The 19,721-nt window shown below is 47.4% G+C and overlaps 1 protein-coding gene, 1 long non-coding RNA gene and 1 pseudogene across 3 annotated transcripts, besides 1 other annotated feature; 1 reads left to right on the top strand and 2 right to left on the bottom strand.

Annotated features, from left to right (window-relative positions):
- Window positions 590-1,089: an enhancer, noted in NCBI's record as "H3K4me1 hESC enhancer chr15:23618137-23618636 (GRCh37/hg19 assembly coordinates)". NCBI's record gives its function as "activates a minimal SCP1, AML or CMV promoter by ChIP-STARR-seq in naive H9 embryonic stem cells {active_cell/tissue: H9 hESC(naive)}" and the evidence as "EXISTENCE:reporter gene assay evidence [ECO:0000049][PMID:30033119]".
- On the bottom strand, window positions 5,590-19,331 carry GOLGA8S (golgin A8 family member S). 2 transcript variants are annotated; one of them, NM_001395373.1, is made up of 19 exons: window positions 19,186-19,331; window positions 17,369-17,488; window positions 16,724-16,783; window positions 16,460-16,540; window positions 15,569-15,607; window positions 15,248-15,295; window positions 15,075-15,159; window positions 14,870-14,979; window positions 13,761-13,850; window positions 13,547-13,654; window positions 13,264-13,351; window positions 12,623-12,858; window positions 12,287-12,355; window positions 10,839-10,914; window positions 10,310-10,401; window positions 9,636-9,736; window positions 9,456-9,553; window positions 9,205-9,360; window positions 5,738-9,120 (listed from the first exon to the last, which is right to left on the bottom strand). In NM_001395373.1, exons 1-19 carry the CDS (start codon window positions 19,267-19,269, stop codon window positions 8,945-8,947), a joined length of 1,917 nt encoding a protein of 638 aa, NP_001382302.1. In that variant the 5' UTR covers window positions 19,270-19,331; the 3' UTR covers window positions 5,738-8,944. The 2 variants fall into 2 exon arrangements, with proteins under 2 accessions (NP_001342394.1, NP_001382302.1); NM_001355465.2 differs by having other exon boundaries at window positions 5,590-9,120; window positions 15,248-15,607.
- Window positions 9,010-12,607, top strand: LOC105370726 (uncharacterized). Its single transcript, XR_931975.3, has 3 exons — window positions 9,010-9,098; window positions 9,719-9,815; window positions 12,364-12,607. It is a non-coding gene; the product is annotated as an uncharacterized LOC105370726 (long non-coding RNA).
- On the bottom strand, window positions 10,518-10,807 carry RN7SL536P (RNA, 7SL, cytoplasmic 536, pseudogene; annotated as a pseudogene).
- Window positions 19,332-19,721: the final 390 nt, after the last annotated feature.

The following is a 19,721-nucleotide window of genomic DNA, read 5'->3' as shown; positions in this document are numbered from 1 at the left end:
GTCAAACTCCCGAGCTCAGATTATCTGCCCGCCTCGGCGTCTGGAGGTGCTGGGATTGCAGGCTTGAGCCAGCGCGCAAGGCCTAATTTATTAATCACAAAGGAATAGCGCGGGGGATCGCTTGAGCCTAGGAGTTCCAGACAGGCCTGGGCCACATGATGAAACCCGGTCTCGCTTTTTTGTTTTGTTTTTGTTTGTTTGTTTGAGGTGAAGTTTCACTCTTGTTGCCCAGGCTGGAGTGCAGTGGCGCGGTCTCAGCTCCCTGCGGCCTCCGCCTCCCGGGTTTGGGTGACTCCCCTGCCTCAGCCTCCCGAGTGGCTGAGATTGCAGGCATGAGCCACCATACCTGGCTAATTTTGTACTTTTTTTTTTTTTTTTTGCTACAGACGGGGGGTTTCTCCCTTCGTCAGGGTAGTCTCAAACTCCTGACCTCAGGTTACCCGCCCGCCTCGGCCTCCCGGGGTGCTGGCATTGCAGGCATGAGCCACCATGCCCAGCTTTTTATTTTTTTTCTTTTTCGGTAGAGACAGTTTTCTCCATGTTGGTCAGGCTGGTCTCAAACTCCCGACCTCAGGTGATCCGCTCGCCTCGGCCTCCCGGGGTGCTGGGATTGCAGGAGTGAGTCACCGCGCCAGGCCCAATTTATTAATCAGAAAAGAAGAGATTGGCCTGGCGTGGCGGCTCACGCTTGTGATCCCAGGACTTCGGATGGCCGAGCGCGGCGGATCGCTTGAGCCTAGGAGTTACACGCCGGCCTGGGCAACATGGTGAAACTCAGTCTCTCTACCTCTTTTTTTTTTTTTTTCTGAGAGGGAGTTTCACTCTTGTTGCCCAGGCTGGAGTGCAGTGGCAGGATCTCGGCCCCCCGCAGCCTCGACCACACGGGTTTGGGTGGTTCTTCTGCCTCAGCCTCCTGAGTGGCTGGGATTGCAGGCGTGAGCCACCAGGCCCGGCTACTTTTGTATTTTGTTTTTTTTTGGTAGAGATGGGGTTTTCTCCATGTTGCTCAGGCTGGCCTCAATCTGACCTCAGGCTTTCCGCCCGCCTCGGCCTCCCGGGGTGCTGGGATCGCAGGCGTGAGCCACCGCGCCCGGCCCAATTTTTAATCAGACAGGAATAGATCGGCCTGGCGTCATGGCTCACGCTTGTGATCCCAGGACTTTGGACGGCTGAGTGCTGCGAATCGCTTGATCCTAGGAGATCCAGACCAGCCTGGGCAACATGGTGAAACCTGTTTTTTGTTTTTTGTTTTTTGAGGCAGAGTTTCCCTCTTGTTGTCCAGGCTGGAGTACAGTGGCGTGGTCTCGGCTCCCCGGGCCTCCGCCTCCCAGGTTTGGGTGATTCTCCTGCTTCACCCTCCTGAGTGGCTGGGATTGCAGGCGTGAGCCACCATGCCCAGCTACTTTTTTATTTATTTATTTTGGTAGAGACGGGGTTTCTCCATGTTGGTCGGGCTGGTCTCCAGCTCCTCACCTCCGGTGATCCGCGGGCCTCGGCCTCCCGGTGTTTTGGGATTGCAGGCGTGAGTCACTGCGCCTGGCCGGAAACCCAGTCTCTTAACGGAAAAACACAACAAAACCCACAAAGATTAGCTGGGCCTGGTGGGCCCCGCGGGTAATCCCAGCTGCTCTGAAAACTGATGCAGGAGGATTGCTTGAGCCCGGGGGGAGGTGGCAGTGAGCCATCATGGCGCTGCTGCAGTCCAGACTGGGTGACAAAGTGGGACTCTGTCTCAGGAAAAGGGAAAAGAAAAAAGAAAGGAAAAGGAAGTACATAAAATTGCTAAATCAAGGAACAGCTTGACAGTATATTATTGAGAGAAATAGAGGCAAAGGTTAGCAGACACCAATGTTCTCTTAGTGGAACTGCAGGTGTCCCCAGACAGGAGGCTGCTACTTTTCCAAAAGAAGTCTATTATTGACCAAAACAAAAAAAAAGTTGGTTTGTTACAATATACAAATAGCTAAACTTTATATAGCCACCACCCTCTTCTAGCACTGCTCTAATGAAACAGCTACTATTTTTACCTCCGTTGTAGAGAAAACAGATGCCAGAGGTTGCTGTGGAAGGACCAGGGAAACGGACTATGAAATTGACTTGTTGTAAGTTTCGGACTTAAAGGTTCTTCCTGCTCTGCTCCTTAAATTGCCACATTTTAGTTAACATACCTCTTAAAATACTGGTCCTTTCTGTATTTGGAGGGACTCCTCTTGGAGTTGGAAGTTTTTTTTTTTACACTAAGCATTTGGTCGGAAGATCATCTGCGTTTTATGTCAGTTTAAGTTTAGACATTTTTCAAGTGGGAATGTAAATATGAGCAAACAGTTACCTGATTGAATTAGATAACCTAGAAAAAATCACTTATGAGAAAGTCAAGAAAATGTGAACTCTGGATTTGTGGCTATTTTCAGAATATTAATTTTTTTGGTATTTAATGGCATTGTGAATATATTTGTTTTTAAAAATTCCTTGTCTTCTACAGATACATATAAGGTAATTAAAAAATGATATGATGTATAGGTTTTACTTCAAAATAAGAGGAAGAAGGAATGTATACAAATGAAGTGGGAATATAAATCAAACAAAACTGGCTGTGGCCAGGTGTGGTGGCTTACACCTGTAATCCCAGCACTATGGGAGACCAAGGCAGGTGGATCACCTGAGGTCAGGAGTTCAAGACCAGCCTGACCAACGTGGTGAAACACCATCTCTACTAAAAATACAACAGTTAGCCGGATGTGGTGCTGGGTGCCTGTAATCTGAGCTACTTGGGAGGCTGAGGCAGGAGAGTCGCTTGAACCTGGGAGGCGGAAGTTGCAGTGAGGCAAGATCATGCCACTGCACTCCAGCCTGGGCAACCACAGCAAAATCCCACCTTTTAAAAAAAAAAAAACAAAAAAACAAAAACCAAAAAACTGTCCATACCATGAATGAAAAATTGTTGATGATGTGTATATGTAGGGCAATTACATTATTTTTCTCAACTTATTTTAGGTTTGGAACTTTTTATTGAACACATGCACACGTCACTTGATAACTGGGGCTGCTTCCCCATTATTCTTGTAGTAGCCCTTCTGATTTTCACTTCATCTTCAGTCTTAGAGATTCTGGATTTTTTTTGGTGTGGCAATTTCAAGTATGCCTTTGCAAGGAGTATCCAGCATGTCTACCTACTCAGCCGTATTATCAGAAACAGAAATATTTTCCAGATTCTGTTCTTGTCCTGTTGAGACTTTTTAAGTTCCAAGAACAGTCACCTTCTACCAGACTCTCTGTTGTTGGAAGACAAAGCATATTTTGTAAGTGGCATGATTTCTGGGCTCATATTTAGAACAGAGCCACAGCTTTCAACAACCCAAAAATAACTTACTGTGACTCACCAAATTTAGAAAGACGGAGATTATTAAAAAAAAGAAAACCTTAATTTACTATGTGACCTCTAAGTATCTGGGCTGAAAATTGTAAATGTAGAAAGGTAAATCAAAAGATACAGGGACTGTAATCATGCACTTAATGAAGCACTAAATCAAAATATTTTTGGCATACGTGAAAGAGTTTAATTTTATCACATTTTTTACTGGCACTATAGCTATTTGCAAGTACATATAAAACTACAGTGTTACATATAAACTACCAAAAAAGAACTTTTTAAGAAATGAGACTCATCTAGCAACTTTATTTAAAAGTTTATCTTCAGGGAATAATTAAGGATGGCCGTACAAAAGGATTTAGCCATGGCATGAGAATGTTCTCCCTGGCAAACCAACGGAAATTATTAAATGTGCAAAATGGAACTGTTGGAATAAATTGTAATGCCTTCATATGATTGTATATTTAACCTTTTAAAATGATATTGAAGAGTTGCATACATTGACTTAAACACACATTCGTAACACATCACTGAATAGGAGAAATATGGGCCAGCAAAGAACATAGAGTTGGTCCAATTTCTACCAAAAAAAGAAGACTCTAATAGCATGACAGCAGGGAAGGGGAACTATGTCAACGTATGTGTGTATATGTATGTATATGCATAGCAAGTATGAACTTGAAAAGATATATTTCAAATTGTTTACACAGATTACCTCAGAGAGGTAAATAACTTTGGACTTTGGTGTTCTGTATTCCACATGCTCTGAATTTTCTTTTTTTATTTAAATAGAGATGGGATCTTAGCCAGGAGCAGTGGCTCACCCCTGTAATCCCAGCACTTTGGGAGGCTGAGGAGGGCGGATTGTTTGAGGCAGGAGTTCAAGACCAATCTGGCCAACACGGCAAAACTCTGTCTCAACTAAAAATTCAAAAATTAGCCAGGGGCGCAGTGGCTCATGCCTGTAACCCCAGGCACTCGAGAGACTGAGGCATGAGAATTGCTTGAACCAGGAGGCAGAAGTTGCAGTGAGCCGAGATCACACCACGGCACTCCAGCCTGGGCAACAGACCAAGACTCTGTCAAAAAAACAAAACAAAATAAAACAAAACAACAACCACAACAACAAAACAGTAATAAAGAGAAAACCTAATGGACAGGGGCAATGTCTCATGCCTGTAATCCCAGTGCTTTGGGAGGCCAAGATGGGAGAATTGCTTGAGGCCAGGAGTTCAAGACCAGCATTGGCAACATAGTAAGACCTTTTCTCTACAAAAAAATTTAAAAATTAGCCAGGCATAGTAGTGCATGCTTATACTCCCAGTTACCTGGGAGGCTGAGGTGGGAGGATCACTTGAGCCTGAGAGTTGGAGGTTGCAGTAAGCTGTGATCATACCACCAGAGAGCCACGACCCCATCCCCGCCTCTTTCCTCTGTCCTGCGCTAGCAATAAATAAGTTTCCCAGCCACAAATAATTATTAGAACCTCCTCCCCATGTGCCAGCTCCAACCTCTGCTAGGTATGATACAGGGGCAGCCCTACCCTCTGGAATATACAAAATGTTACACAGACACAGTATGTACACCGGGGAAGGTGGGCCACCCCAGCAGCCCATGCCCTCGCTGGTCCACAGTTAGCCCCGCTTTCTGGCCTCAGCTACCTCTCTGAATAAGAAGATGGGAGCCCCCCTGAGGGAAACGTTGCCATGGTGAGAGTAAGGGGACCATCAGGCCTCCTCCAAACAAACCAACTCCACCAGCCTCTGGCTTTTAAGTAACAATCATCATCATCCAGAAATTTAGGGACTCAGCCCTGGTCAAGGTGGCAAATGGTCTGTTTGTCTTTCCCCATTAGACAGAGGTCTTGTCCTGCTACCCTAATTGTAAAGGGGTGCCTGGGAAGAGGTGGTAGGGACATGGTGGCGGTGGAGACTCCGGCCCCACTTCTCCAGGCTTTGCTGACAGGGGCCTGCTTTTAATTTTTATTTTTATTCCATGACTTTTTAAAAAAATCCCATAACTTCTTTTTCATAACTTTTTTTGTAACTTTTCATAAAACTTTTTTCTACTTTTTTCCCAGAAGTTTTTTTGCCACAACTTTTTTACATTTTTTATCCCATAACTTTTTCACCCCATAACCATTTTTAATAAAAAGTTATTTAATAAAATAACTTTTTATAAAACTTTAATAAAAGTTTTTTAATAAAAAAACCCATAACTTTTTTATTTTGTGTTTTTAATAAACACTTGCATAGTTGTATTACAATTTTGTAAAAATGAAACACATTATCTCATGTCAAGCATGCCCAGCATTTGCACAGTATCAATACCTTTAATACTATAGTTTTCAAGAAACACAAAATAAAATTTTAAGGCAAAAACAACACTTAGAAACAATTTAATGATTTATTACATTACAGTGGCATCACACCAGCAGTCAATAAGGCCACTCTAGGGAAAAATCTTTCAGTATTTCCATTACACATTCTGTTTACAAGAATTCACAAACTGGTAAAATTCATTCTAACAAAACTTGGCAAATAAAGCTTTGGACTGGAATTGGCATTTCTTTCTCTGCTTTTCCTTCCCACTGTTTCTTTCTTTTATACTATAGTATTCATATTTTAAAATGTTTTAACTTATTTCAGAACATTAAGATAGCAGTTACATTTTTAATAGTTATATTATTTTAAAATGACTCTAAGATAAAGTTTTAGAGAAACTATATTATGGATAGGGCTGATTTACATTTTCAAATTTTCTAAAATCAGCTTTCGTTTTAGAGCTGATTTTTTTTTCATTTCTGGAAAATTATCAGGTTTAATCAAATACTTTTAAAATGATTATTATATATTGCCATCTTTAAATAGGTGTTTTGATTCTTCCTACAGAAATTAAAATGTATTCAGTGGAACTCACATTTTAAAATTCTATGTTTCTGATGAACTCTAACATTCCAATGTTGCCTTCTAAGCAAACTGAAAGCTGCCTTATACCGAATGAGGAAGAGCACAAATACTCGGCTGAATGAGGTATCGCAAAAGACTGCATGCACTTTGGAGAAAGACTTAAGTTATTGTCATACAATTTCCATTCCTTTTAGCTTTTTCTTAAATATATGACAAATACCTACACAAAGAGTGGTATTTCAGTCAATATAGTAAATTTATTTTCCAGACTGACCTTCAGCTTAAATATGCCAGTGTGTGATTTAATCCATAGGCACCTCATGAACACATTATTGTCAGATTGGTTACAGATGCTAAACGCTATCCGAAGGTCATTCCTAGTCACTGATATTTATCAGGGTAAAAGTGAAGTGATTTCAACGATAAAAGTACCTTTGAAATAATTTATCAATGTATTAGATAAACCCAGTTTCAGAATGATAAAAGAAAAAACGTTAGACCAAATAATGTGGCTGATTAACAGTGGTCCGATTTCTAGCCCGAGGGTTTAAAATGCTCTTAAAGTAACCGTCTTTAAACTGAACTCAAAGAATGCAAAAGCGGCAAGTTCAGAAAATAAAAGGCGAGAACAGGACTTTAAGTGCATTTTAAACCCACGGGCTAGAAATCGTACCACTGTTAATTAGCCGCATTATTTGGTCTAACATTTTTTCTTTATCATTCTGAAACTGGGTTTATCTAATACATTGATACATTCATAAAATTTGGAAGAGTCAGTTGAAGTCACAAGGACCGAATATTTGCACTCTTTCAGTGAATGCCAGCAAATCTGTTATTCCATCGGTAAAATCGTATTGTTGCTCTCCTGTTAATGTCATATTTATAGAAGTATCATGAGGATGCCAAATGCTAAAAATGGAGATGATCTAGTAACTAGAAATCCCCACCGCAGGGAGCACACACACCTATCTCCCTGCATCCTAACAATGTGATGTGTTTTGGAACACAGACATTAGAACTTCATGAAGTTTTAACTGTTGAGTCTTTCCCAAGCATCATCAAGTTACGATTTAGGCAATACATAACTGAAATGCATTCATTCATCATGCATAGGCACAATCACATAAATATTGCACAAAATATGTCCCGAACAGAAACCCAGAGATACAAAAACATATTTCACTTTGTAAAGAAGTCTGTGAGAAAATATAACTCTGTGATTGTATAGGCACGTTTCCTGATAATACATTGACATTCACGAACAGTAGATTGCACTGCAGTTTGTACACATTTTAAGTTTCATAAACTTCTCCTTGATTTTCAAAGATAGTATAATACCGTCTACTAAAACTCCCTTTTGTTTCAACTAAGTATCTCACATATATTAGTTTATAATAATGTTTCTATTATTTTTTAAAGTGTTTTCCATTCAAGGAAAAAGAAGTAAATTCCTATGTCAGAGTAACCAAGGTGGTTGAAGAATAGGTATTAGCCAAAGAGGTCTAGATGGTAAAATCAATCTTCAAGCCTCAAAGAATCTCCGTGAACAGAGAGGAATGCCAGGTGTCACACAGCTTTCCTTCACTCTAATTCATTCTTGACTAGAGCCTGTATGCCTGTTCCAGGGACATTTGAACTCGTAAAGGATTTCTTATGATCTTTACTAAATACATTAAGAAGAATGCCAACCAGTGCCCTTTTGTGTACTGGGACATGTAGTCATGTGATTAAAACAGGTAACATGAACTCTGAGTTTAAAATGTATTGTAGATACAAATGCTCTAAGCTAGGAAAGGTTTTCCACATCCACAGTCAACGATGGGAACCTTTCATTCCTCAGAAATAAGCCCTTTTTAGGTCATTGAAAAAGAGTACAACTGCTGCAGCTCATGATGCAGTATCTTCATGAGCCCAGAGCACATACAAATCCTAAGGGAACCACCATAATACACTGCTAATTCCTGGCACCGGAACAGATGAAACACACTCTATCCTGGACATACCTGCCAGAGGAGGCCACTTTCCTCTTCTGTGAGATTTAAAAAGCTCCCTCAAAAGGTTTCACTCCCATCACCAATACACAGAAAATGGAGGAAAGGCTGTTTCCAGTTCTTGGCCTTTAAACAACTCTAAATGTCAGTACTCATAGTGGCATATTACAAAGTAATAAACAGTGCACGCTTGGGGGCAAACTACATATTGAGCTAACGAAGAGCTCACTGTGATTAAGATTAGATCAAACAACAGCAGAACATAGGCAAATTTTGTCTGAATTCTGTAGTGAATATACATGCTGCAATAACATTAAAAAAGCATGGCAGCCTATTCCAAACCAGCGAGAACAGTTTTGGGCAAAGAGTGGGTCTTTGTGTGTTTGAACCCCCACCACGTAAGGGCAAACTCGATATGCATGCTAATGACCTACAATTATGAAATTAAAAAAGAAAAATGCTAAAGGATGCCAGAGTGAACATCAGTGAGAGCCACAGACACCCACTCTCTTTTAACTTTTTACAAATAAACTTAAAACTATAAATTAGAAACACAAATAATCATGAGTGACTCTAACATTCAAAGGAAGTAAATGAATTGTGTAGGAGATTAACCCCATAACTTGGTTTCTTATTTAAAAATTTCTTGAGCAGCTCTTTGATGATGGTGATGTTTATCTCCTTCTTCTTGGCAGCCAAGCCCAGCAAAAGAATGGCACACAGCAGTTGTTGCCCAAGCCTGGGTGCTCCTGGTGGTCCTGCACGATCGGCTGTGCAGTAGGCTTGTCAAGGAGAGGATCCTCCCTGGCCTCTCCTTGGGCAGAGGAGGTGAGGCTCACCTCACAAAGATCTTTGGAGAGAGGGAGGCAGGGATCTGAGCACAGTGGGAGCCCCCTCTTCCTGCCTGCCCACCCCACCTGAGGGCTCTACTCACCACCATGCTTGTCTGCAGCCCCAAGCTCCTGGGGGGCTGGGGCTCCTGGACCGGGCTCATCAGCAGGGTTGTGGGCAGCGGCCAGGAATTTTCTGTGCCCATTGTTGTAGTTGCTGTAAGCCGCAATACCATCTGCTGCAGCTCCAGCAGCTTCATCTGGAGGGAGGGGTGCTCAGCTGCCATGCCGCTGCCTGCGCCCACCCTCACACCCACCCCCACCCCCACCCCCACAGAGATGTTGCACACCCTACCTTCATCTCCTCCCTGAGCTCCAGCCTGATGGTGTCCTCCTCCCAGTGCCGCATCTTTGGCACGGCCCCCTGGTTCTGATAAAAGGTGATGGATTTTCCTGCGGGAGGACAGGGCTCAGACGCTGGGGCCCCTCCGACGGCCCTGTAGCTCCCCCTGCTGTGCCCTGGCCTCCCACTCACTGATGGCATCTCTCTTGCCAGTATTGAATGAAGCGAAGTTCTTGTTTCTTCACCAGCTCACTCAGGTCTGCCTTCTCCTCCAGGTGGTCCATAAAGCTGCTCTGGAGCCAAAATATTGTAGTCACATCTCGGCAGCGACCTGCCCTCAGGTGGCATTTTCAAGTCATGGAGAAGGTGGAGGTGAGTCCTGGCATGGGCCAGCTTCTCCGTGACTTCCTGCAGGGCCCAGTGGGTCTCCCCACTCACAGACTCGCCCCCAGGCCCTGGGGCTCCAGGGCCTCTGGCTGCCTCTGGCTCCTTCTGGGCCGAGGCCACCAGGTGAGCCAGGCGCTGGCAGCCACCCTCTGCTCTTTCACCTGCTCTTGTAACTGTGCCTGCTTCTCCTGGGCACTAGCTCCAGCGGACTTGAAAAATGCCACCTGAGGGCAAGATGTGAGCATTCTTCTAGGGGCATACACAGAAGAAATGGGGCAGAGAGGTGGAGCGCAGCCCCTTCCCTTGGGGCCCCAGAGACTGCACATGTTGGTCACAGGTGAAATGGTGTCTGACCACTGGCTCTCGGAAGGGGTGAGGGTCCAGAGAAATCAGAAGGCAGGGAAACGAAGAGCATAAAGGGGTCTTGGAGGGACCACAGAGAAAGGTGGCAAAATGGGTGCAGGGGGAGTCAGGCTCACCATGGCCTCCCTGCTCTCCAGGTCCTGTGGGATGCTAGGAATGGGCCGAGGTGCCTCCTCCCCCTCACTGTCCAGATGTCCTCCTCCATCTCCTGGGGGTGGGGGTGGTGGCCAGAGGGGTCCTCAGACAACTCAACAAGGGAAGTATTGTGGGCCCACCTCTACCTCCACCCTCATTGTGTAACCCTGAGCCAGCCCCTCCCCAGAGAGGAATGAGCTGCTGTTATTTATTTTTACTTTGAAGAACCAAGATCTTGCTATACTGCCCAGGCACATTCCCACTACTGGTCGGTGCGGGAGTTCTGACCTGCTCCCTTTCTGACCTCGGCCAGTTCAGCCATCCTTAGGCAACTTGGTGGCCCCCCGCTCCCAGGAGGTCACCATATTGATGCTGAACTTAGTGCAGGCACCCGGTTAGTATAATGACCAGCTGTTCTAAAGGTCTCTTCCAACTCCTCAATCCTATGCTGCTAGCAGTCCCCCCTTCCTCCTGGGGCTCTCTCCTCTTCCTCTGAGCGGTCTCCCGTACCTTCCCCAGGGAGAGCCATGAGGCTCAACTGGGCCGTTAGCTGCTGTTTCTGCTGGCTGGCAGCTTCCAGACGCTCCTAAGGGGCCAGGAAAGAGTGAGAAGGCACAGAGTTTGCCAGGTCGTCCCCCTCACGGCCCCATCCTCGGCAGCTCCCTCCCCTGGGCCTCCTGCAACTTTTGGCAGGCCATCTCGGCCACCGCTTTGCCCCAAGCTTCCTGCTGCTGCAACTGGTTCATTAGCTGGGTCTGCTGCAGCCACTGCCTGTACAGCGCCTCCTTCTCACAGGTCAGCTGCTGATAGGCGGCCACCTGCTGCTGATAGGTGGCCACGTACTGCTGCAGGTGACCCAGGTAATGGTCTGGCTGCTGCTGCAGACTCTGAGCCTCTTGGCTCTTCAGCTCCACCTGCAGGAAGACCCTGGGTGTGAGGGCACATGGTGGCTGGTTTGCAGATTCTGGGCCCATTAATAGGGTAGCGAGGGCACTGTGGGGCTCTGTCGCCTGCCCAGGCCCCTGGCCCCTTACTTCAGGCCTAAGTGACTGCCTTGCTTTCCTAGAACCCCATGCCTCCTTCCCCAGCCTCAAATCTCATGTCCTCTTCCCACCATTTCAACTGTAGGCCACAGAATGGTAGAAAAGTAGTGGGAGCCAACCACCATCTGCTAAATGTGCTACAGGCCTAATGCTTCCCATGTATTATCTCATTTAATCCTCAGCACCTCTGTAAGGAAAATGCTAACTTCCTTTTGAAGTTAAAGAAACAGAGACTTAGAGATGCGAAGTACTTGAATGGTGACCAGTGGAACTGAGGCTGGAATCCAGTTTTAATCTAAGGAGTCTTTTTGTTTTGTTTTGAGACAGAGTGTCACTCTGTGGCCCAGGCCGGAGTGCAGTGGTGCAATCTCAGCTCACTGCAACCTCCACCTCCTGGGCTCAAGCAATTCTCGTGCCTCAGCCTCCTGAGTAGGTGGGATTACAGGCATGCGCCACCACCATGCCCCACTAATTTTTCTTTCTTTTTTTGTTTTTTGTTTTTGTAATTTTAGTAGAGATGAGGTTTTACCATGTCGGCCAGGCTGATCTCAAACTCCAAACCTCAAGTGATTCTCCTGCCTCAGCCTCCCAAAGTGTTGGCACTATAGGCGTAAGCCACCGCATCTGGCATAAGAAGACTGTTATACCACTCTGTCTCTTCCCCTGTGATTGGGGGGGCTCCATGTCTCTAGCTGGAATGATGATGTCCAGACCTGGGAGGAGCCCAGGGCTACCCACCTCTAAAATCAGAGGGCAGGAAGCAAGAAACAGCCACAGGACTGCCCTGGAGGGTGCTGGGGTCACCTGCCCCTGGGCTGGAGCTACCGCTGGCCTGGCACCTCCCCTCCCCAGAGGCTGGTGCCCACCCACCTCCCAGACCTTCTTGGATGGGGTGGAGGTTACCGTCTCCTTCACCTTGCCTAGCTTCTCCTGCAGCTCCTTTACTTGCTGCTCCAACTGTAGTACGCTCTTGTTCTCATTGTTCTGGACAGAGAGAAGCAATCAGCAGCCACCCACTGCAGCTGGAGACCCCAGAACTTGGTGACTGCCTCCCATGGCACCGGGAAGGGTGGAGGCAGGTTAGAAAAATCATCCCCTGTCTCCCACAGCCACCAGAGCAGGGCTCTGGCTCACAGGTGCCTTTAGGAGTAACATTTCACTTGAGGGCTACACTGCCCCATTTTATAGGTGGGGAAACAAAGGCCTGGAGGGCTAGGGAGGAGGGCAGGCTCCCCAGCTGGGGCAACGCACCAGCTCCTTGAAGCTGTTCTGTGGCTCGGCCAGCTGCTGAAGCCTCTCCTCCTGCTCTGGAAGCCTCTCCTGCTGCTCCCGAAGCCTCTCCTTTTGCCCCTCATTCAGGAGACTTATGCGCTGATTGTACTCCACCTGGGCCTGGAGCGCTCCTGCCACTCTCTCTAGTTCCTTCCTCAGGTGCTGCAGCTCCGCCTCAGAGGGCACTGCTGGGGGCTCCGGGGGCAGAGGTTCAGCTGAGAAAGGAAGCAGACAATAAGAGCCTCTGGATTCCAAAAAAAAAAAAAGAAAAGAAAAGAAAAGAAAAGAAAAGAAAAGAAAAAACCCTCCTCTTGGCGCACAGCTCCTCTCCGGCTCCTCAAACTTGGCCTCACTGCTAATGATTCCTCGCACCCAGATGGTAGCCAGTCTTCCAAAGCACTTTCAGAGAAAGAGCACTGCGGGTGGCTGACAACGGGCCCTCTTTGCTGATGGGGACACTGAGGCTCATTGAGATGACAAGACTTGCCGTCTCCTGGCACAGACCTCTTTCCCTCTGCCTCAAAGCCCTTCCATCCACCCACCTCGCTGGGGCACTCCAAGCCACCCTCACAGCCCTCTGATGCCAGTCCTGCTGCCAGGTCACGCCAGCCCCATCTTACCCATCTGGTTTTTGAGTTTGGACAAGCTCCTCTCCAGCGTCTCTACCCGATATTTATCATGCTTCTTCTCCTTCTTCAACGAGCAAACCTGCCCAAAGCACAGGGGGAAAGGGCCCTGGAGAGAGGGGCTGGAGGCTGGACAGGCTGCCCTCTCCCTCTCTGCCCCCACCTCCACAAAGCCCAGTCCCATGACCACCTCTGGCTCTACTATTCCCATTTTACAGGTGCCCAGAAAGATCCAGTGACCTATCTAATGTGGGGGGGCTGAAGGGTCAGATCTCACCTCCTGCGACATTTTTCTCATCCTCTGCTGCCACCGGGCCCTCTCTCCTTTTAGATGTTCAGCATATTCATCCCTCTCTAGCTGGACTTCTTTAAGTGACTCCTTCAACTGCAAGAATGGGCACAGAAATTAGGAAGGGCTGTCACTGGTCCTCACCTGCTCCTGGTTACCTGGGGTCATCTTCCTTCCACATCCCTCCCTCTGAACACCTCACCTGTGTCAGCTGCGCTTTCAGCAGTGCCTGCTCCCGCATGGACTGCTCTAACTTCCACTCCGTACGTGCTTTACTGCGGCTGGAGAACTGCTGAAGAGTGAGAAGTTTCAATCTGGGGAGGCCGGGCCATTCCACACAGTGCCCCTTAAAAGGGCCAGGGCTAGGCCCAATATACAACTCGGTCAGTAAAGATCAAGGCATTTCCAAGCCCGTGGTTTGGTTTTTAAAGAACTCAGTAAAGTTGGAAGGGACAGGGAAAGAGATCGAATTTATAGCTGGCTAACAGAGGCCCAGAGAGATCAGATAATATTGCTGTTGTTATTACTGTTATTATTACCACTGTTTGAACTTTTATGGAGTGCTTCACCAGATACCATGCTAGCAATCCCATTTAATCCTCACAACCACCATGGGAGACAGTTACTATGATGACCTCTATTGTGTAGATGAAAAAACATGGAGTATTTGAGGTTAAGTGCTTGCCTAAGATCACTTAGGCAGAGCTGGGATTTAAACACCCAGATCTATCCAATTCTCTAAGCCCATTTTTCTTGCTGGGGGTGGGGGCACAGCTAGGAAGGGGAAAATTAATCTTTTGTTCACTTTTTGAAAGGATAATACATTCAAATAGTCCCAGACTCAGAAGGTACAGAAGGGAAGTATCTCCCAGCCACCCTGTTGCTCTCTCCTGAGTTTTTATGAACACTTGCAAACATATTTTATGTATATTATCATAATATGTACACACACACACACGTTTCCTCTCTCTACAGAAATGGTAACATACTAAAGGTACTCTTCTGTACCTTCACAGTACAAGTACCCAATACCCACTGAGGACTTGGCCAAGACCACAGCCAGGTAAAGGCATGGCAGGCACTTGGCCTCCAAGCTCTACGTCCTGTGCTTTGTCCCCAGAGTGCCCCCCAACTCACCCACAGCAGCTGACTCAGTCCCAAGCTGCCGCTAACAACCATACAAAAAAGCAGTGAGAAATGGCCATGCTGCCTTCTGGGCAGGACACTCCATCCTGCAGAAGGGACCTTTAGGCTCACTCCTCTGTCTGCAAAGCCAGGCTCCCAGGGGACGGGGCAGGTGGTTGGACTCACCCTCTCCGCCTTCTTCTTCTGTGTGGCGGTGACAGCAGAGAGAGCCCGCTCTAACTCTCCTTTACGCTGCAATGAATGTTGCAGACGGACGGCCAGATCCTTGGACTCTTCTGTAATGAGAGAGTTGAGATGGGGCCCAAAGGACTCCCCCTGAAGACCTGTCAAAGTGCCAGGTTGAAGGATGACAGGGTACCCAGATTCCCACCTTCAAAGTATCTGAGAGAACGTTTCGTGTGGTACAGGTCCGTATTTAGTTTCCCTTTCTGTATGTTCAATCTCTGGATTTGAACCTTTGGGAGAAAAGCCAAGCAAGTGCTGAAAGAGAAGGAAAGAAACATTCTCCGGAGGACAGGAGAAAACTGCACACCGTCCACTCACCTCTAGCTCCCTTTCGGCTTTCTGTTTCTCGTTGTTTGCTTTCTTTTCCTGTAGGAAGAGGAAGACAGAGATCTAACCAGGCAGAGGCAGAGATGGTACTGCAAGAGACATGTCCCCAGAATGCCACCACTGCCCCTGCCCCGGGACAGGCCCACCCATGGGACCGGGTTATCAGAGACCCTGTGGGGGATGGGGTGGACTCTGGGGGGTGAGCCTTCTTCCCCAGGCTGGGAGTGGGTGAGACGAGACTCGGGGCCTCTACATCTGAGTGTCCCCCAAACCGAGCAGTCATGTCGCGAGCAAACAAAGAAATCATGTTACTTCTTCCAGCTGATGTACCACTTGTTTCTTCTGTTGTTTCTGTGGGGAGAGTCACATTAAGGTGATGGAGGGTGGCCCCCTCAACTCTATTCCCCAGAGCAGGAAGTGGTAGGCAGGGACCAGGAATGGATTTTAAAGGCAAAGTTCTCAGACCCAGTGGGAACTCGAACTGGTAAACTCTCCTCAAGCTCCCAAGGACAGAGGATTTGGGTCTTTGTTGGCTTTTGCCCACAGCCACAGAACTGAAGGTCTGAATCTGGAATCTCTTGAGAGGACAGCAATATAAACCTCTAGAGATGGAGTTTGAGAAAGGCCCCCCCTTCTGCCAGCTTGTGATTTAGAAAAGTGCATTCATTCAATAAACATTTACTGAGCACGTATGGGCCAAGTACGGTTCTTCACAGAAGATTTAGGGTGGAAAAGGACAGACAGGAGCCTTTGGCCCTGAGGTTTCCATTCTAGGAGGCCTTTAAATCTCAGACTCGAGAGCTAACAGAGACCTTTGATACTCACTACTTCATGGAAACATGAGCCCAAAAAGGAGAGGTGGCTTGTCCAGAATCAAAGAGCAAATTAGGGACTGAGTCATGGCAGAAATACAGGGACCCTGACAACCAGTCAGGCTAGCACTTCCCCAAGAGGCAACAATCCCAGGGCGTGTGTAGCAAGGACTCGAGCAGGGGCATCTGGAGAGGGGAGAGTCAGCAAACAGGGCAGCAAAAAAAGAGCCATGCTGCATGCTCCGGGGTCCCTCCAGGTGAGGCCTGGGCGCCCCAGCTCCCTATTCGCCCTTGGCACCAGGGGCCGCCGTCCCCTTTCTTCAGGGCCCCAAGGGGAAACTAGAGCCCAGGATTGGCAGCGTGGAATCAGGGGACCCCAGTGGACTCTTACCAAAGATTTGATGGTGTTCTTCAGTTGACTGACTTTTACGGACCTCGAGTCTGGGACTACTGCTAGTTCTTGGCACGGGCTCTGAGGCGCATGCAGAGAGGAGGAGGTGGAGGAGGAGTGGGGGGAGAGGTAGAGAGAACAATCATTAGGGCTGGGGTGTGTGTGGACTGTCTCAGCTGGCAGAGGGGCACCCCGTCCCACCTGGAGGAGGAGGTTGGAGGGCTGGCCTGCAGGGTCACTGCACCTCTGCCCAGAGCCTCTTACCTCCAGATCCTTCAGGGTAGCAGATGATGTAGGGCTCTCCCCGTGGATACCTGTTGCTGACTACAAGAGATGAGAGTGCACATGAAGATGTTCTGTCCCACTCAGTATCTAAGCCCTCTGACTTCTTTTCTTCCCCATCAACTGGCACAATTTTCTTTTCTGCCTATCTTGGACCCTTTGTCCCATAACTCCTTTGTGCCAACTTCTCTCATGGTTCTTATCTCCCCACCACAGCACCCTGCGGCCCTTTCAGTGACTCCTGTGCCAAGTGACTGTTCTCATTGTCCTGGCTTCCCCTTGAGACTGGGGATGAGGAAAATCGAACAGCAATGACCATATCCTGGGTGTTCTGGGTGTTTACAGCAGGCCATGTACTAGGGATTAACATAAAAACAACAATAACAAATCTCATTTAAACTTCACAAATGGAAGTGAAACAATACCACCTCTATTATACAGATGTGAAAAGAGAGGCCCGATGAGGTCTAGCAACTTGCCCTAATTCATATCCCTAGCAGACAAAGAGGCAGGATTCAAACCCAGAATTCTTCACAGGTACCCAACAGTCCATCCACAATCTTAACAATTACCCTCTAGTGCCCCTTGGGTCCCCTGTCCCCAGGAACCTAGTCAGCCAAGACTCACATCTCCAGGTGAGTGGCAACCACCAGAAGTGGCTGTCTCATGGATGCTGCCATTTGTTTTCCTGTTCCTCTTGGCTCCTGCTGGAACACCAGGGCTGTTTCTCTGCCAATATTCTTTTAACTGTCAGAAACAAGAGCAGTAATACTCATGAGAACTATCAGCCCCTGCAGCCACATCCTCCTTTACAGTTTTTATAAAATACTCTTATACACCATCTGATTTAATGATACCAACAACTGTACAAGGTGTTGTCACAATCATTTAGTGACTCAAAGAGATTGATATCATGGCTAGAAAAAAAAAGAAGAAAAGAAAAAGGCGACAGATGAACTTTGAAACTCAGTCTTCTGACTCCAAACTCTGGGGTTTTACCAAGAATCATCAGCTGCCAGGGACCAAAACCAGAGGCAGAGCTAGAAAAGTAAACATTAAGTAGGCAGGAACTGTATGCCATGTGGTTTAGTCATACATCCTCACACGTCTGTTAGTGTGAAGAAGTGCACCTGTACCTCTCAAACTCTTATATCAATGTGTCCTCATGGCAGAAGGCAGCCTTTCTGTTAAATCTGGGAATTTATCAGAAAGAGGACAACCCAAGCCTCATTTCAGAGAGAAGTCTGGTATACTGTTAGAAACCTATGTGACTGTCATCCCTAAGTACATTAATGTTTTTTCTCTTGATCTCAAGAGAATCAATGGAAACTGATGCTTCAGAAAGATGTCCCATATGTATCCTGTGGCACTCAAAGTACCCCAGGTTTACATAATATGAGGAAGATTCAAGCTGTCAAGTTCAGTTTCCCAAGATCTATTCCACAGAAGATGAGCAAATCTCACTTCACAGACCACTGACTGAAGGGCAGTCTGGTCCCAGAACCATGGAGAATTAGAATGTGAGGTGGAGAACTCACAAAAAATTTGTTAAAATCTCTCTGGAAAGTAGAAGCCTGGGAGAAAACCAAACCAAGTCAAACCCATTCTCCAGTTGCCATCCAGAGGTACTGTCAATGTTTTGAGCTCACAGGGGAAGTGTAGGCTTTTCCCGCTGTCAATGTTTGTGTTAAGGGAGTGAGGCAGCCTGAAACCTCTTGCTCCTAGGTCCCAATCTCCATTCCCCTTCCAGCTGGAAATTTGTGCTGTGACAAGAGGAACCAGAAATGGGGTGGCAATGCTTAGGGGACTGGGTCATAAGATCAAAGGCCAGTCTCGCAGTAATGACAGTTACTGGATGGACCGTGACATCACTACATTCCACTCTTCCTGGTGAGGGGGAGGGACCACATCAGCATGATGTCCGAGTCACCGCTCCATGATAGGGGAGGGAAAAACAGAGCTGGGACCCAGGTCCTTGGAGACGCCAGTGCACACAGCCTAGGGAGGTCCACCTTGAGGCAGCAGGAGGGAAGGGAAGAGTCAGCAGCAGGGAGCCCCAGGATTCACCAGCCTAAAGTCACCCAGGGATGACTGGTGAGGGTGGGGTCTGGGGCTGTGGGACCCAGGTCCTTGGAGATGTGAGCCCAAAAAGCCCTGGGAGGTCAAGCTTGGGGTGGCAGGAGATGAGGGCCCAGTAAAGGAGCGGGGAGCCCCAGGATTCACCTGCCCAAAGTCACCCTGGGGTGATTGGTGAGGGCAGAGACTGGGCTGCTTGCTGAAGGGGTGGGGCTGACTGGCAAAACTTTGGTGGGGGTAGCCCAGAGGCACTGGTGTGGGGGCCCCAGTCCGGTGAACCTCGGGAGTGGTATGGACTCTGGCAGCAGTCTTGTCGTTGGAGAGGATCTATGGCTGGGTTGGGGGTCCGTGACCTGGTGTGTTTTTACCTTTCTCTTGGCTGCTGCCAATTTACTTTGTCGAGTTTCTTCTGCCATCGCAGGGTGGGGAGGGAGGCGGGCTTGGGGCCACATCAGCAAAATCCCACCAAGCACTGATCAACACCTCCAGTCACCTACCAGGTAGCTGTGCGACTGAGCCAGAGGAGGCGTAACCAGGGATGCAGTAGAAGGCAGAATAGGGGCGTGGCCTTAATGCTCCAAGCCCATTGGTTAATGAGAAAGATGAAAGGGAAAGGGGGCGTGGCCAGGCATCATGTGTCCAGAGGGACCTTTGGCTCACAAGGAAAGCTGCCCATGCAACCACTGTCCCCACCCACTCTAAGAGAGGGGAGAGGCCGCCAACTCTGGGAGAGGGGCAGGGCCGGCTTTTGCTTTAAAAGCTTTTAAAAAATATATATGTGTATACTTTATATATATGTGTGTCTGTGTGTGTGTACCTGTGTGTTCCTCCAGAGCTGTCTTCATGATCCAGCTTCTATGCAAGGTCTATGATTTTGGCCTATATTTTTCATAGAGTACAAAAA

This window comes from Homo sapiens, chromosome 15 (assembly GCF_000001405.40).
Source record: "Homo sapiens chromosome 15, GRCh38.p14 Primary Assembly".
Lineage (NCBI taxonomy): Eukaryota > Metazoa > Chordata > Mammalia > Primates > Hominidae > Homo > Homo sapiens.
Note: the sequence above shows the minus strand (reverse complement) of the source record. Positions and strands in the feature narration are given on the sequence as shown.